The sequence below is a fragment of the Homo sapiens genome, chromosome 5, assembly GCF_000001405.40.
Source record: "Homo sapiens chromosome 5, GRCh38.p14 Primary Assembly".
Classification (NCBI taxonomy): Eukaryota; Metazoa; Chordata; class Mammalia; order Primates; family Hominidae; genus Homo; species Homo sapiens.
Window position 1 is genome coordinate 56,867,079 of NC_000005.10, and position 17,199 is coordinate 56,884,277.

The 17,199-nt window shown below is 35.9% G+C and overlaps 1 protein-coding gene across 4 annotated transcripts in view, besides 2 other annotated features; it reads left to right on the forward strand.

The window, feature by feature from the left end:
- The window catches only part of MAP3K1 (mitogen-activated protein kinase kinase kinase 1), an 80,604-nt gene that overhangs the window by 51,530 nt on the left and 11,875 nt on the right, over nt 1–17,199 (forward strand). For all 4 annotated transcript variants that reach the window (NM_005921.2, XM_047417218.1, XM_047417219.1 and 1 more), the window contains 9 exons: nt 4,832–4,953; nt 5,563–5,644; nt 5,747–5,927; nt 7,954–8,232; nt 11,902–12,023; nt 13,633–13,724; nt 14,005–14,194; nt 14,492–15,788; nt 16,449–16,601. In NM_005921.2, the coding sequence (NP_005912.1) occupies nt 4,832–4,953; nt 5,563–5,644; nt 5,747–5,927; nt 7,954–8,232; nt 11,902–12,023; nt 13,633–13,724; nt 14,005–14,194; nt 14,492–15,788; nt 16,449–16,601 (2,518 nt within the window). The remainder of the gene's footprint in view (nt 1–4,831; nt 4,954–5,562; nt 5,645–5,746; nt 5,928–7,953; nt 8,233–11,901; nt 12,024–13,632; nt 13,725–14,004; nt 14,195–14,491; nt 15,789–16,448; nt 16,602–17,199) is intronic.
- Nucleotides 13,316–13,485: an enhancer, noted in NCBI's record as "experimental_86223 CRE fragment used in MPRA reporter constructs". NCBI's record gives its function as "activates a minimal promoter by MPRAs in K562 erythroleukemia cells, with activity observed for both the introgressed and non-introgressed 5:56176306 variant alleles {active_cell/tissue: K562}" and the evidence as "EXISTENCE:reporter gene assay evidence [ECO:0000049][PMID:34662402]".
- Nucleotides 15,284–16,483: an enhancer, noted in NCBI's record as "CDK7 strongly-dependent group 2 enhancer chr5:56178189-56179388 (GRCh37/hg19 assembly coordinates)". NCBI's record gives its function as "activates an origin of replication core promoter dependent on BRD2, BRD4, P300/CBP, MED14 and CDK7 cofactors, with strong dependence on CDK7, by STARR-seq in HCT116 cells {active_cell/tissue: HCT116}" and the evidence as "EXISTENCE:reporter gene assay evidence [ECO:0000049][PMID:35650434]".

The following is a 17,199-nucleotide window of genomic DNA, read 5'->3' on the forward strand; positions in this document are numbered from 1 at the left end:
ACCTCAGCGTCCCAAAGTGCTGGGATTACAAGTGTGAACCACCACACCCAGCTCCTTTTTCCTTTTGAGTGACATTTCTGTAACTTTTTACTGTGGAGAAAAATAACAGATGCTTAAAACCAAGTAGTCAAAATAGAAAGTTTCTCTCTGAGGTTAAATATATATATTTGGATTTGCATATCCATGGGGGGAATCACAAAAGTTATCTTGGTTACTGAGATTGTACTGTACATACATAGATAGATTTTTGTTTCGTATAACCACTATTTTTATATCTAAGATCAATAAAAAGAAAATACAGAGGAAATTTATCTGGAGGTCTGATTACATACAATTTTAAATGTTATGCCCAAAACAATAATAAAAGAATTAGGATAAACAAATTTAAAATTCAATTGAAAATGAAGGGCATAAAGAGAATATCCACCAAAAAAGAATTTTAAGGGGCTAAGAAACACAAAAACTGTTCAGTCAACCTAATAACCGAAGAAATGTTCATTTTTTAAAAAAAGATACCAGTTTTTATTTACCGAAATAATGAAGACTTTTTAAATGATGTAATTCAGTTATTGTAAGCATGTGCTTGATCGTATGTAAAGCCGTATAGCCTTTTGAAGAAAAAAGGAATATGGCTTTTAAAAACATTTATATTCATTGATCCAGTAAATGTTCTTCTTAAGTAAAAGTTTAATCTGAGAAATGCAAAAGCCTCACATATATCATATATGACTGTTTCTCATAGTATTATGGTGAAAAAGTAGAAACAGTTTAAATATCCAACAGCAATTGAATGATTAAATTAGCATATGCCCATGTTACAAATGTCATGTAGGCATTAAAATTATGCTTTTGGAGAACGTTGAATGGCCTGGGAAAATGTCGATAAGTAAAACCAAATCTAGGTTATAATAATATATTATGCATGAACCCAGTTTTATATAGAAAAGGTATTACAAGTATGTAAAAATCGGAAGGAATAAAAACTTCACTGGTTATTAATAGGAGGTGCTATTATGGGTAACTTTTTTTAAACTTTAAATATTTTGTGGTCCATTTGGTCTCTTTTAAAACTACTCAGCTCTGCCCTTATATCCTGAAAATAGCCAAAGACGATATATAAATGAACGGGATGGCTATGTTCAGTAAAACTGTATTTACACAAGTAGTCCACAGGCTGATTTGTTTTCCTTATAAGTTCATTACTCCCTGCTCTATACTTGTAATTTTGCTTCAGAAAAAACTATGCTAAAAAAAATCTGAAACGTCAAAAAAAAATGAGTACAAAGATGTTTGTAATGGTTTCTTTCTTTCTTTTCTCTTTTTTTAGACGGAGTCTCTCTCTGTCACCCAGGCTGGAGTGCAGTGGCGTGATCTTGGCTCACTGCAAGCTCTGCCTCCCGGGTTCATGCCATTCTCCTGCCTCAGCCTCCCGAGTAGCTGGGATTACAGGCGCCTGCCACCATGCCCAGCTAATTTTTTGTATTTTTAGTAGTGACAGGGTTTCACCATGTTAACCAGGATAGTCTCGATCTCCTGACCTCATGATCTGCCCGTCTCAGCCTCCCAAAGTGCTGGGATTACAGGCGTGAGCCACCGCGCCCGGCCGTAATGGTTTCTTAAAATGTAAAAATATGGAAACAGCTTATATGTCCAACATTAATGGATACTTAAAACAGGATCTATCTAGTCAGTGGAAAATTATGATGGCATTAAAAATTATGTGGTGGAAGCAACCCAGGTGTCCATCAATAAATGAATGGATAAAATGTGGTATATACACATAGTGGAATATTACTCAGCTTTACAAAGGAAGGAAGTGTGCTACAACATGGATGAACCTTTAGGACATTATTCTAAGCAAAATAAGCCAGTCACAAAAAGACAAATATTGTATAATTGCACTTACATGAGATACTTAGTCAAAACCATAGAGACAGAAAGTAGAATGAGCCTAGGTGGGAGGATATGTTGACCAGCCTGGGCAACATAGTGTGACCCTGTCTGTACCAAAAAAAAAAAAGAGAAAAGAAAGAAAAGAAAAATTAGCCAGGCATGGGTGGCATGCCCCTGTGGTCCCAGCTACTCAGGAGGCTGAGGCAGGAGGATCTCTTGAGCCCAGAAGTTCAAGGCTGCAGTGAGCTATACTTGTGCCGCTGTACTACAGTCTGGGTGACAGAGCAAGAACCTGTCTCAAAAAAATGTAGAATGGTGGTTGCCAGAGGCTGGAGGAAGGAGATCATGGAAAATGGTGTTTAATGGGTATAGGGTTTCAGTTTTACAAGATGAAAAGGATACTGGAGACACATAGTGGTGATGGTTGCACAGCGTGAAGGCATTTAATACCACTCACGTGTACACTTAAAAATGGTTAAGATGGTAAATTTTATGTTTTGCATATGTTGCCACAACAAAAAAAAGAATTATGTATATGAAGAGTTTAAGTGCAATTTTATAATAAAAATTTTTAAAATATGAAATAGTGCATATATATACATAAATGATCTGAACAATGCTTACAAAATATGTACTTGGAAAAAAGATGGGCAGGAAATACCCCGGAATGGTATTCTTTTTGTTGTCAGAGAAGTATTTAATAAGTTGCACTTATAATTTGACTAAATTGTGAAACTTTATTTTCCTCTATGAATAAGCTTAATTTTGGTATAATTATTTGAAGGGTTAGTTGACCTTGGATTATTTTTGCCATGAATATTTTTATTATAGGTAGTTGTATACATCATTTCTGTAATGCTGCTGTTAATTCTTTGTTACTAATGCATGCATAGTCTTGACAGTTTTTCCCCATCCTAAGTAGCTCCATAATTAGGAAAAGAGATGGGCAGGTACATCAGGAGGGACAGACTAGTAAGTGTGCCTTCATCACAGGAATCACGCATTATGACTTTGCTGACTTGTTTGACTAGCTTTTTGGAAAGCTTTTTGTGCATTTGGGGAACTGGTTATTTTGCTGGTAGTTACTCAGATCTGTTTTTCAGGGAAAAGTAGTTACTGTTTTTGCCATTACTTCTAATGGCAAAATTAGAATTAAAAAAATTAGAAGTAATGGCAAAAACCGCAATTACTTTTGCACCAACCTAATAGTTTAAGATAGTAGAAGTGCAATATTGGGCCTAGCTTAGCAGACTCTGAAATTTATAGATGTTGTAAGTTTATGGCATATTCTTCTCAGATAAAAGTGTAATGATAGATCTGCCACAAACTGATTTTATGATTTGAGGCAACTTATTTAACATCCCAGAGCCTTGTCTTTATATTATAATGAAAATACGGCTATTGATTTTAAAAGCCATCCCTCACATCATGAAGGTTTAAATAAAAACATTTATGAAATAGAAAACTAAAGCCCTCTTTAGCCTGGCTGCACACAAAATAACTACTGTTAACTATTTCATACAACTTTTAAAAATTACATAAATCAAGGAATGAAACTCTTCTTTGCACACTTCGTACTTCAGCAAACACATGCACGCACGTTCCCCCATCCATGTTTCTCTCAACTTTCTTACTGTTTTTAAACAAATACAAAGTCATGCCATATGTTCTGGTGTGCAGTTTTCTTTTACTTTTACTTTATATATCAAGAATATTTTTCCACATCATCACCAAATTACATACTTTTTTCTTTTCATGGCTGTATAAGATTATGTTGGTACACCATAATTTATTTAGCCATTGCCTTAATTAATGTACATTAAGTACATCTCCACTTTTTGGTTTACATACTTAAAATATGTAGCGATAACATCCTAGAAAATAGGATTTTTAGGTCATGAATATATACCATGTAGTATTTTAAGAAATACTAACAAAATTTCCTTCCAGAGATTTTAGTTTTTACTCCTACCAGCAGTCTATATGAGAACCTGGTTTTCTGTGCCATTATCAGGGCCAGATGTTACCAATCTATTATTTTTTATTCCAATTGCCTTTTTATTTCCTTTGTCCATTGTACTATTTATTAGTATTTTTCTAACTGATTTTTAAAAGTACTTTGTATGTTAGAAATACTCAAGTATATGCAATATAATTAACCATTATGTTGCGATTTTGCCATAAATGGAATCATCCTATACATGGTAGTTTTATTTTGACCTCATTTATGGATTTCTCTGTTCCTTTTTAAAGGCTTCAAGGTGTCTGGGTTTGCCATAATTTGTTTAGCCTCTTTTTGGCATTCATTTGGTTGTTTTGATTTCTTTTCGTTATTCTAAATAATATTGCAGTGGACATTTTCATACATATATCTCTATATATTTATCTTTTTATTTTCTTACGATACATTCCTAGAAGTCTAGGTGAAAGATTGTGTACACTTAAAATGTGATGTGTTCCTAGATTCATTTCTGGGAAAGTTGGATCAGTTCATACTGCCACCAGAAATTTCTGAAATAGGCATTTAAATTTAGGATGTGGAATCTTTGAGCTCTAAGGTCCGCCAGTACTTAAAATCTTGAAACTGGTACCATGTAGTGTATTTTTATACATAGTCAAACCTGTTGGTCTATTCAAAAGGTACAGTAGCAGAATTTGGGGGATACAAATGTTTCTTTCTAAGATTGCAGTCTGTGTATTGAATTGTTTTCATAGCAAAGAAGGTTAACTCACACCTACAATCTATAAATACTCGTGTGTTAATCTGATTTTAAATTACTGTATATTAATAGTGTAAATATGTATCTCTTAGTTATATAAGATGCTCTTAAGAATTTCTAATGTATTTATATTCTAAGCAAGCAGAAAGTGTTTTTAGCATATCCGTTCTACTTTATATTCTTTTATGCTTAATACTTTTTCTTCCCCTTTTCTATAGCATAAAGGATGAAGAGGAACAGATGTGTCCTATTTGCTTGTTGGGCATGCTTGATGAAGAAAGTCTTACAGTGTGTGAAGACGGCTGCAGGAACAAGCTGCACCACCACTGCATGTCAATTTGTATGTGGCTCTTTTTCTCCCTATGCTTACTCAACACAGTTGCTCTCTGAGCTAACTATGTTATTTAAGAGTGTAACATGGCTTGAGGGGAAATTGGTGAGAGAATAAAAAAAGTATATCTAAGTCCTAAGTCCTATGTGAAAAGTTTTCAACAAATGGGAATGTAGGATCTTTAGGAGATGACCTGTGTGAGCAAAGAAATGCAATAAAGTGTGTGTGACATATGTGATAATGGAAGAAGTGCACAGAATTAGAAACAATTTCAATCTGGAAGGTATACATGAAGGGAAGGAGGTGGAAGAAGACCTGGGCAGGCATTACAGAAAGGCTAGCATCAAAGTAAGGTTTGGAAGGACTTTACCTGGTAGTCAAACAGGGCAGAATGTTTTGAAAAATAGTAAGCAGAGTACATGTTATCAGAATGAATAAAATAGCATTTGCAAATCAAAATCATTTAACCTGCTGTGTTTACTTGCTTTCAGATAAACATTTAATTAGATTATTTTTGAGGTTCCTTCTATATAAATTCTATAATTATAAACAGTTATGAAATAAAAATAATGTTAAACATTTACATTTTTGTAAGATTTTGTTTCTGTAATTTTTCAGGGGCAGAAGAGTGTAGAAGAAATAGAGAACCTTTAATATGTCCCCTTTGTAGATCTAAGTGGAGATCTCATGATTTCTACAGGTAATAATTTTGAAATGATACGGATATGTTTAATTTTTAAAAATTTCTCAGTGTGGTTTGTCTTAATTTTTTTAAAGCAAGTTTTGTTATTTTTCATTTTAGCCACGAGTTGTCAAGTCCTGTGGATTCCCCTTCTTCCCTCAGAGCTGCACAGCAGCAAACCGTACAGCAGCAGCCTTTGGCTGGATCACGAAGGAATCAAGAGAGCAATTTTAACCTTACTCATTATGGAACTCAGCAAATCCCTCCTGCTTACAAAGATTTAGCTGAGCCATGGATTCAGGTAAGTAGTTCTTTGTTTTTCATTTCTCAAAGAAATATTTATAGATCAATTAATGTATTTGTCTCCTTCCCTCAGTTGTTCATAATTTAAAAAAACACTTTTACTTGCCTCCATCATGACCTTCATTCCACTGGAAATTTTAATGTTACTTTTGGTATTAATACTATACTGCTTATTGTACAGCTTCAACTTCAAAACTTCTTGTGGTTTCACTTCACATATCTAGAAACATCTCTTCCTGAACTAACGGACATACGGGGTTATTCAAGGATAGAAGGATAGAAACCAGAACCCTTCAATGCTAACTTTTCCCAATGTTTAATCCCCGTGCCTGCCAAGAATTTTTATCATGTTTCTTATTTGCTGCCATTTAAAATTAATTTCTCTTTTCATATCCTAATGGCATACAATGGGTGCTTAATAATTGCAGAGGAGATGAATAAGAAAAAAATATGTGATGGTTACCTTGAGTTCATCATTTTTATTTGTAAGAACAGTTTCCCATCCCTTTACCATCTCTTCTGATTGAATGTTTTTTCATCCTCAGTAAGTAGGGCTTTTTTGTCAGTTGGTTTGTAATGATTTTCTTGGTTGTTGAATGCTCAGTCTATTATTTTTTAAATGTAGGATCTAAAACCAGACGGGTCTCCAGTAGACAATAATAAAGTAAAATAATTATTTTCAATAATCTGTTAAATTCTGTTGAATTAAATTTGTGAACAGGTGCATTAACACATTGAGCTTATATATCATTAGGATTTGTTACATTTTTCTTTTGTGACCATTACAGTCCTGCAGCTTTGGAATTCTCTTAGCATATTAGCAACCCATTTATGAATCTAATAAAATCTGCAAAAATATTAAACACATTCTTGTACCTAGTTCATTAATGAAATTTAATGAACTATTAATGAACATAGGCCCTCACCTGCCCTTTCATGACCCATCAAAGAACTCTCAAGTTGATTCTGAGCTGTTAGAGTTCATTCTTTCAAGCATATGGTCTAGTTTGTTTTGCCTAAGCTTTAGGTCAGACTAGGCTCTACATTCCTAGCTTTTTATTAAGCATGTTAGGTAAGACAGTTAAAACATAGGTAGTGGTACACTACTTAACAGTACCAGAAGCTCACTATATTCTAGTTGGTTCATTCTCCCATAATATCCCTTTATAACAAAACATATGTAAATAAGTATGTTATGATCTGTTTTTCAAAAGTTGTGTTTATTCATCTTTAATATTTAGGCATTTTTCACATAATGAATTATCTTAGGTATTAAGCTTACTTTTAGCTAATTGGCCCATAATGTCAAGACCATTCACCCTTTCCTCACTGTAGGGACTCTGGCTTTTGGGGCATGGTATTGACGACGATAACAGCATATACTATAATTCTACGTCTACATTTATCCTTTGCTTACTCGAACACAAGCATTTTTTCTTCAGTTGTTTGATTTGTCCACTCCATTCGTTTTACAGTCCTACCTGTTTTGTCTAGTTTTTTAAACCTTTTTATACAGACAAAAACCAATTAAATGTGTTTTGCTTATTGCTCTTGTCTGTAAGAGAAATACTCTATATCTCTTGAAACCTTCTCCTGGTGCTTTTTTTGATTTGTTTTTTGTTTGTTTGTTTGTTTTCTTAATCTTGCTCCAGTTTTTCTCTTTAAACTACCTTAATATGAATACAGAGTTGAGGTTTTCACAGTTTTTTGGCGTTTTGGTAAGCATGTGGGACAGTAGAGGCATAGAATGTATGTATAGCCATCTAGTGACTTAATGGAGCTTATTATTAATTTTACCTGAGCTAATAAATATTAATGACTTTGGATAATTATCAGTTAAACTTGAGTATAAAATTCTTCCTTATGATGCTTAAGTGGCTGGATATATTTGAAGTTGTGAAGGATGGTAAAGATTTCAGAAATGTCCAGTTTTTACGTAGTAATCAAAAATGATGCTAAACTCAAAATGCTCTGGGTCCATAAGCTTTTCTTTACATTGAATTCATCGTGTGTGTTTGATACAGGTGTTTGGAATGGAACTCGTTGGCTGCTTATTTTCTAGAAACTGGAATGTGAGAGAGATGGCCCTCAGGCGTCTTTCCCATGATGTCAGTGGGGCCCTGCTGTTGGCAAATGGGGAGAGCACTGGAAATTCTGGGGGCAGCAGTGGAAGCAGCCCGAGTGGGGGAGCCACCAGTGGGTCTTCCCAGACCAGTATCTCAGGAGATGTGGTGGAGGCATGCTGCAGCGTTCTGTCAATGGTCTGTGCTGACCCTGTCTACAAAGTGTACGTTGCTGCTTTAGTAAGTAGCTTTATTCCATAATCATATCATTATGGGTTTGGGGTTTTTTGATGGTTCGTAGATAGTGTTTTTAAGATACAATAAAGCTACTTTACCTAATTTTGGAAAATCCAAATTTTATTTTTATTCCATAATTCCAGGAAATTACAGCTTTTGTTTTGTTTATTTGAATTTTACTGATTTTTATGATGTCCAAGGTTTCTTATATAACTGTTTTACTTTTTAGTTTCATTGTTTTAAAGGCTTTGCAGGGGTATCCAAGGGAGAGAATATAGTCATGGTTTCTTAGTTTCTGTTTGGGCCAGTAAAGCTCCTTCCTCATCCTCCTTTTCCACTTACCACTAGAGACAGACTAAAAACCATGGCTTCAGGCTGCTAAAGCCTAAAACAAAACAAAACAAAACAGAACAACAACAAATAGGGTGAGCTAGACAAGCTTGCTAATTTTTAAAGATTTTTTTAATGTCTTGCTGTTCATATCTGTACATTTTTCTGAGCAGATACCTTATACATGACCAAATTAAAAATGCTTTTTGGGATGGCAGAGTCATCAACGTTATTCTGATTTTTTAAAAAATTTATCAGATATTAAGGAAGATATGTTTTTAATAAACATTTTGATTGATTTTTAATAAACATTGTCATGTGGAGATTCAAAAGCCTTTTCAAAGAAAAGGGTTCCATGACATAGATCATTGAGTTGTTTTCCAGTTTAACCTGTTAAAAGTTCTTTCATGGGTGGAATAGAGTGACAAGGAGGTAATTTAGGAGACTAACTGGACTTTCTCCATTCTGCGTATATGTCTCTTTAGGGCTTCTCAGCCTCAGTACTATTAACATTTGTTAGATAATTATTTGTTGGAGGGTGGGGGGAGGGCCAGGGATGTTGTCATGTGTGTACTGTGGCAGCATCTCTGGCCTCTACCCATTAGATACCAGGAGCAAACCCACCCCCACCCGATCATGCCCCCAGTTATGACAACCAAGAATGTCTCCAGGCATTGCCAAATGTCTCCAGTGGTCAAAACTGCCCCCAATTCAGAATCACTACTTTAATTCTTATCTAGTCTGTTCTTAAAATTCATGAGCAGTCTGTAGGCTTCCTCCCTCAGTCTTTTTCTAATGCATCCTCTACCGATTGGGCCTAATGAATCTTCTTGACAGGTAATACAGCATGACAGTTACGAACATGGGTTTGGAGTCACAATTGAGTGATCTCATAATTTATCATTCCAACCACAATGCTTGCATAATGTGCTGGTTAAAGTTGGACTAGCCTAGGCAATCTGAACACATGATCAAGATCATAGAGACAGACCTGGATTCAAATTCTGGTTCTCCCTTTTACTAGCACGATGGCTTTATGAAGGTTACTTAACCTCTCTTAAATAAACTTCAGTTTTCTCACCCATAAAATAATGAAAATACCTTTTAGGTTTGAAATTAGATTATGTAGAAACTTTCAACCATATGCCTGGCACATTGTAAGAACATTTAATATTATATAATAGTTATCATTATTTCTTAAACACAACTTGGATTATCCCCCAAATCATTTAGAAACCTTTAGAGGTTTCTGTTTCTTTGACATTCCTAAAGCATATTCTGTGGAAGTTTGGCAGGGTTGTGAAAAGTTCCCTGAAGAAAGAATCCCGTATTCAGTTAAGATTGGTGAACACTGGATTACACAAGGATAACTAGGTCTGTTGACTGAAAGGCTTCTAGGATCCTTCAGTAAGCTAATGTACATTGTGAACCTAAAGGATCAAAGGATAGAATGCATTGTTTCCCAGAGTTATTTTGCTACACCTTGTTTTTTCATGTAGCATCTGGAGGGACCAGCATACTATAGAATAAAGACCAATTGGCCCAATATTTTGCCTCTTACTTAGTATTTTCCAACACAAACCTTCAGGCATACTTGACTAAATAAAATCCTCTTTTTGCTAGTTCCTTTTCTGCAAAGCCTTTGCTGTGTTACTCTTTTTGTACACACCGTAACTGCCTTACTGTTGTGGTTGTTTCTTCTTAAGTTCAGACTGTTTCCCAACTAGCTTATGAGATCCTAGAGCACAAAGATTGTATAAAGGATACCAGGCTCCATGGAGGCAGAAATGGCTCCTGCTGTTAAGGCTCACCCTTTCCCTTTCTCTTATCTCCCCTTCCTCTGTCTCTTCCTTTTTTTCCTCTCCCTCCCTCTGCATATATAATTTTTTTTTTTTTTTTTGCTGAATCGTTTGAGAGTTTTTTGCAGCATCATGACACTTAAATATGTGTCTCTTAAAACCAAATACATAATTCCATTTATTCTTCCATATACAGTCAGCACATTAACATTAATCACAATACTGTTTTGTACTATAAAGTTCATACTCAAATCTCTTCAGTTGCCCAACAGTGCCCTTCATAGCTAAACTGCAGACTTTATTCAGATTTCACCAGTTTTTCTGCTGTTGTCTTTTTTCTGTTCCAGGATCCAATCCAGGATCCCACAGTGCATTTAGTCACCATGTCCCCTTAATGTCTTCTCATCCATGACAGTTCCTCAGCCTTTCCTGGTTTTTAATGACCTTGACAGATACTTTCAAAGTTTACTGGCCAGTTATTTTGTAGAATATCCCTCAATTTGGGTTTATCTGATGTTTTCTCATGATTAGATGGAAGTTACGTATTTTTCACAAGAACGCCACAGAGGTGACAGGCCTTTCTTAGTGCATCATATCAGTGGGTACATATGCCCATGGCTTTTATTATTGGTGATGCTGTCAGTTAAGGTAATGTCTACCAAGTTTCCCTGCTGTAAAGTTAATATTCCTAAATATCTTGTGAGAGTTACTTTGAGATTATGCAAATACCCTATTTCACCTCAAAATTTTGTCCACTGATTTTAAAAGCATTTGTGGATCTTGCCTATAGCAGTTATTACTACACCATTAAAAATGGTGCTCTCTTGGGCACAGGGAGGGGAGCATCACACACTGGAGTCTGTCGGGGGTCGGGAGGTAGAGGAGGGATAGCATTACAAGAAATACCTAATGTAGATGACGGGTCGATGGATGCAGCAAACCACCATGGCATGTGTGTACCTATGTAACAAACCTGCACGTTCTGCACATGTACCCCACAACTAAAGTATAATTTAAAAAATGGTGTTCTAGTGGTGATTTTCTATTTTCCTCATTCCTTCTACATTAATTAATTGGAATTATTCTATAAAGAAGAGCTTCTCTGTTTATATACCTATTCAATTTTTAATTTGTATTGGTGTAGGCTCCTGGGTATTCATTTTGTTCTGTGGGTTGCAACCCAGTACTACCATCATTTGTTTTGTTGCTCTAATTATTCCAGCCTTGACCATTGGGAGCTCTTTCAGGTTGGCGCCTGTTCTCATTTTCTTTTTTAAAATAATTTTTTTTAACTTTTCATCTTGAAATGAATTCAGACTTTTAAAAATTGCAGAGAAAAGAGTTCAGAAAATTCCTTCCTGCCCCATTCATTTATTTTGTTAGTTAGTTGTATTATTACAGAAGCATGGAATTCTTATTTTATTCTATGGGTTATAATCCATTCCTGTCTACTTATTTTGTTGCTCAAATTGTCTCAAATTAGGCCATTATCTCTGATGCTTTTTAAGTGTACATAAACTGACCTTCAGATTTTTTTCCTTAGAAAACATTGAGAGCCATGCTGGTATATACTCCTTGCCACAGTTTAGCGGAAAGAATCAAACTTCAGAGACTTCTCCAGCCAGTTGTAGACACCATCCTAGTCAAATGTGCAGATGCCAATAGGTAAGGCTTTATTGATGAATCACTTCAAACCCTCTTGTCTTAAAAGTGCCTCGCAGCAAGCCTCACACCTAGTGTGAATATCTGATACATTTTATTAAATGAGTCTTTGAACATTGTCTTTTAATGTGAGATTTAAAATGAAAATGCAGCATAAAGCTCTTAAGGACTGGCGGAAAGAACTACTGGCAAGTAAAAGCCAGGCAAACAAACTGCATGGATCTCCACATTATTGTATTGTGATTTACTCTCTTTAGTAACATTCATAATCTGAAGACCAGTCGATAAGAACAGTAGTTGACATTTATATCTATAAGTTATAATCTCATATTAGAGTATGGGTTACACAGAATAGGAACCAGTAAGATCATTACACCTGCATATGCCTTATTATCAGGATAAAAAATTAACAAATCCATCTCATTTTCAGTGTAGTGGAATTTTACTCTACTTATGACAGTTTTGTCAAAAAATTTTTAGATTTTTTATATTCCTGCAATATCCTTAAAAATTGACAGGGAACAAGAATAACCCTAACTGGAAAGAAAAATATGAAGTAGAGAATTGAGGTACAATGACAGTAAAGATGAGTACAAGCCATGCTTTTTTCAGACCAATGGTTCTCTTTTATTTTCCCCTTCCATAAAATAGGAGGAAAAGATCAATTTTCATTTAATAATCACAGCTACTGTGAACAGTTATTTGGTAGTTCCTATTTCTTTCTATCCCAGCAGATCTTGGTTAGCAAGAAGTGTTGAATCTCCCTTCTGTTGCCTCTTCCATTTCACCCATTTAGAGTTCTCTCAGTACAACCTTTCTCTTCCTCTGCAAGTCATAATGACTTAGTTTGCACAGGATCTCAAAAATTAGGTACCTACCTTTAACGAATTTCTCATATCATGAAGTCTGTCTTTTGCCTCTATTGTTTTCTCTATAGATTGAAAATATTGGATGTTTCCTTGTTGCTTAGAGAAAACATTGTATATCTGTAAAATATTGCAAATTAACAAGTAATTTGCAAAATGCATAGGAAAAATGTCATTTTTAAATATTAGAATAGGTATATTTCTGAGAATTCAGTGTTCTCATGGTATTTGTTATGCTGCTCACTTTTTGAAACTCCAAACTTAGGTTGTTTACCTGGTCACCTGAATGACTGAACATAAGAAATACTGTAGAGAGATTTTATAATATTCAGACCTCATTTTGGCTATGTAAGGAAATGGAGGGTTTTTGGATAGGAAGGTTTTGTTTTTAATTCAAGAGCTTCTTAGTGAAAGTTCAGAAATCAAAATATCAAGGTCCTTGTTTTTTCTTTTAACAAAATATAAGACTTTTATCTGATTTGGTATTTAAATCAGTACTTGCAAAGAGCCATTGTTGAAAATTCTGTGCTTAACATAGGGGATATGTTAAATTTACGAAATTAGACCTAATAAATGAATATTACTACTTATGGTGACATTGTTAATATGATTTTAGTGGTGGAAAAGTAAACACTCCTGAAAACATTATTTCTCCACTTTTTCACAAGGCATTACATTACTCCTCTAATATTGTATAGTGTTTTAGCCAAGATCCAGGATTGATGTTGCTTTTCCTTTGTTTTTAGCCGCACAAGTCAGCTGTCCATATCAACACTGTTGGAACTGTGCAAAGGCCAAGCAGGAGAGTTGGCAGTTGGCAGAGAAATACTAAAAGCTGGTAATAACTTTTCACTTAAAAGGAATATAGCATATTTTATCATGTTCCTGAGCAGCCTTGTCTAATCTCATAATCTCTCATGAGGCAGTTTACAGGATTTTGAAGTAATTTTATAAATTGATTCACTGTGTTACAGTTAGAAATGTGAATTACTCTGAGAGAGAAATTCTTTAAAATAGTTCAGAATATTTTTGTTGGCCTTACACCATTTAATCATGTCTTGTTTTAGATTTTAATATCACTATTTTTTAATCATTTATTTTTACTTTCCTTTTTGTAGGATCCATTGGTATTGGTGGTGTTGATTATGTCTTAAATTGTATTCTTGGAAACCAAACTGAATCAAACAATTGGCAAGAACTTCTTGGCCGCCTTTGTCTTATAGATAGACTGTTGTTGGAATTTCCTGCTGAATTTTATCCTCATATTGTCAGTACTGATGTTTCACAAGCTGAGCCTGTTGAAATCAGGTAATTTTTCTTCTGAAAATGTATTACTTGTATCTTCCTACCCTCCCTACACCCTCCTCAAGAATGACACATTTTAGATTTTTGAAAGACTCAGAGCATGAATAGGTTGCTGATACCTTAATATTTGATTGACATATGAAAACCCAAAGTCTGGGCTCTTTAATTAAAAATTCATAGATACTTTATGCTGAAATGGTTTTTGAAGTATACATGCTGTAAATTACTACCATTTTTTAAGTTTCCATGTATTTTTCAGTAATTGGAACTTATATGGTAATGAATGTTTTTTTCTTTCAGGTATAAGAAGCTGCTGTCCCTCTTAACCTTTGCTTTGCAGTCCATTGATAATTCCCACTCAATGGTTGGCAAACTTTCCAGAAGGATCTACTTGAGTTCTGCAAGAATGGTTACTACAGTACCCCATGTGTTTTCAAAACTGTTAGAAATGCTGAGTGTTTCCAGTTCCACTCACTTCACCAGGATGCGTCGCCGTTTGATGGCTATTGCAGATGAGGTGGAAATTGCCGAAGCCATCCAGTTGGGCGTAGAAGACACTTTGGATGGTCAACAGGACAGCTTCTTGCAGGCATCTGTTCCCAACAACTATCTGGAAACCACAGAGAACAGTTCCCCTGAGTGCACAGTCCATTTAGAGAAAACTGGAAAAGGATTATGTGCTACAAAATTGAGTGCCAGTTCAGAGGACATTTCTGAGAGACTGGCCAGCATTTCAGTAGGACCTTCTAGTTCAACAACAACAACAACAACAACAACAGAGCAACCAAAGCCAATGGTTCAAACAAAAGGCAGACCCCACAGTCAGTGTTTGAACTCCTCTCCTTTATCTCATCATTCCCAATTAATGTTTCCAGCCTTGTCAACCCCTTCTTCTTCTACCCCATCTGTACCAGCTGGCACTGCAACAGATGTCTCTAAGCATAGACTTCAGGGATTCATTCCCTGCAGAATACCTTCTGCATCTCCTCAAACACAGCGCAAGTTTTCTCTACAATTCCACAGAAACTGTCCTGAAAACAAAGACTCAGATAAACTTTCCCCAGTCTTTACTCAGTCAAGACCCTTGCCCTCCAGTAACATACACAGGCCAAAGCCATCTAGACCTACCCCAGGTAATACAAGTAAACAGGGAGATCCCTCAAAAAATAGCATGACACTTGATCTGAACAGTAGTTCCAAATGTGATGACAGCTTTGGCTGTAGCAGCAATAGTAGTAATGCTGTTATACCCAGTGACGAGACAGTGTTCACCCCAGTAGAGGAGAAATGCAGATTAGATGTCAATACAGAGCTCAACTCCAGTATTGAGGACCTTCTTGAAGCATCTATGCCTTCAAGTGATACAACAGTAACTTTTAAGTCAGAAGTTGCTGTCCTGTCTCCTGAAAAGGCTGAAAATGATGATACCTACAAAGATGATGTGAATCATAATCAAAAGTGCAAAGAGAAGATGGAAGCTGAAGAAGAAGAAGCTTTAGCAATTGCCATGGCAATGTCAGCGTCTCAGGATGCCCTCCCCATAGTTCCTCAGCTGCAGGTTGAAAATGGAGAAGATATCATCATTATTCAACAGGATGTAAGTATAGATTCTTTAAGAGGTTAGAAAACTTCCTTGGGGCTGGGCACAGTGACTCATACCTGGAATTCCAGCACTTGGGGAGGCTGAGGCCGAAGGATTGCTTGAGCACAGGAGTTCGAAACTAGCCTGGTCAACAAAGCAAGACCCTGTCTCTACAAAAAATTTTAAAAATTAGCCAGGCATGATAGTGTACACCTGGGGTCCCAGCTACTCAGGAAGCTGAGGTGGGGAGGGTCACTTGAACCTGGGAGTTTGAGGCTACAGTGAGCTGTGATTACACCATTGTACTCTAGCCTGAATGACAGAGCAAGACACTGTCTCACAGAGAGCTTCCTTGGACCATACTAAAATAAACCTAATTCAGAAATGCTGCTTCTAACATTCAGAAGCAGAGTTTTCCACATAAAATTATTACTTATACAACAATAATGTTTGTACTGTTTAAACAGCAATAATTCTTGCCTATGGGCATTTCCGGTTAATTGTATAATGGTGATTACTTTTGCATTTGCTGTCGGTCACAAATACCTTCCATTCAGAGGTCACATTTATAGGTGGTTTGGGAAGCCAGACTGAATAAGAATAATATCTTGCAGACTAATTTCACAAAATCTTACTCCTTTAACAGTAAAAAGATTGCTTTCGTTTAATATGTAGACACCAGAGACTCTACCAGGACATACCAAAGCAAAACAACCGTATAGAGAAGACACTGAATGGCTGAAAGGTCAACAGATAGGCCTTGGAGCATTTTCTTCTTGTTATCAGGCTCAAGATGTGGGAACTGGAACTTTAATGGCTGTTAAACAGGTAAATATCTAGTGAGCATATAAATGAAATGACTCAAATCACAAAATGAAGCATGTTCAGTAAAAAGAATAAAGGATATGTCCACGTGTGTGTACTTTAGTTCTTTAAACTTTGAGAAACTTAGTTTCAAAGTAGATGTTTCTAAAGCACCAGAAACATCATGAATTCTGTTATTGTTAAAAGTTGAGGCCACGCGTGGTGGCTCACACCTGTAATCCCAGCACTTTGGGAGGCCAAGGTGGTTGGATCATTTGAGGCCAGGAGTTCAAGACCAGCCTGGCCAGCATGGTGAAACCCTACCTCTACTAAAAATACAAAAATCGGCCGGGCAGGGTGGTAGGCACCTGTAGTCCCAGCTACTCAGGAGGCTGAGACAGAAGAATTGCTTGAACTCAGGAGGTAGAGGTTGCAGTGAGCCGAGATCGCACCACTGTACTCCAGCCTGAGCAACAGAGCAAGACTGTCTCAAAAAAAAATAAATAAAAGTTGAAGTATGATTATTGTAAGACTACAATATCAAGATGGGCCTTACAAAGGTTTTTTTGGTTTTGCTTTTTGTAGGTAGTAGAGGTGGTTTTCAGGTACTTCTTTCAACAGT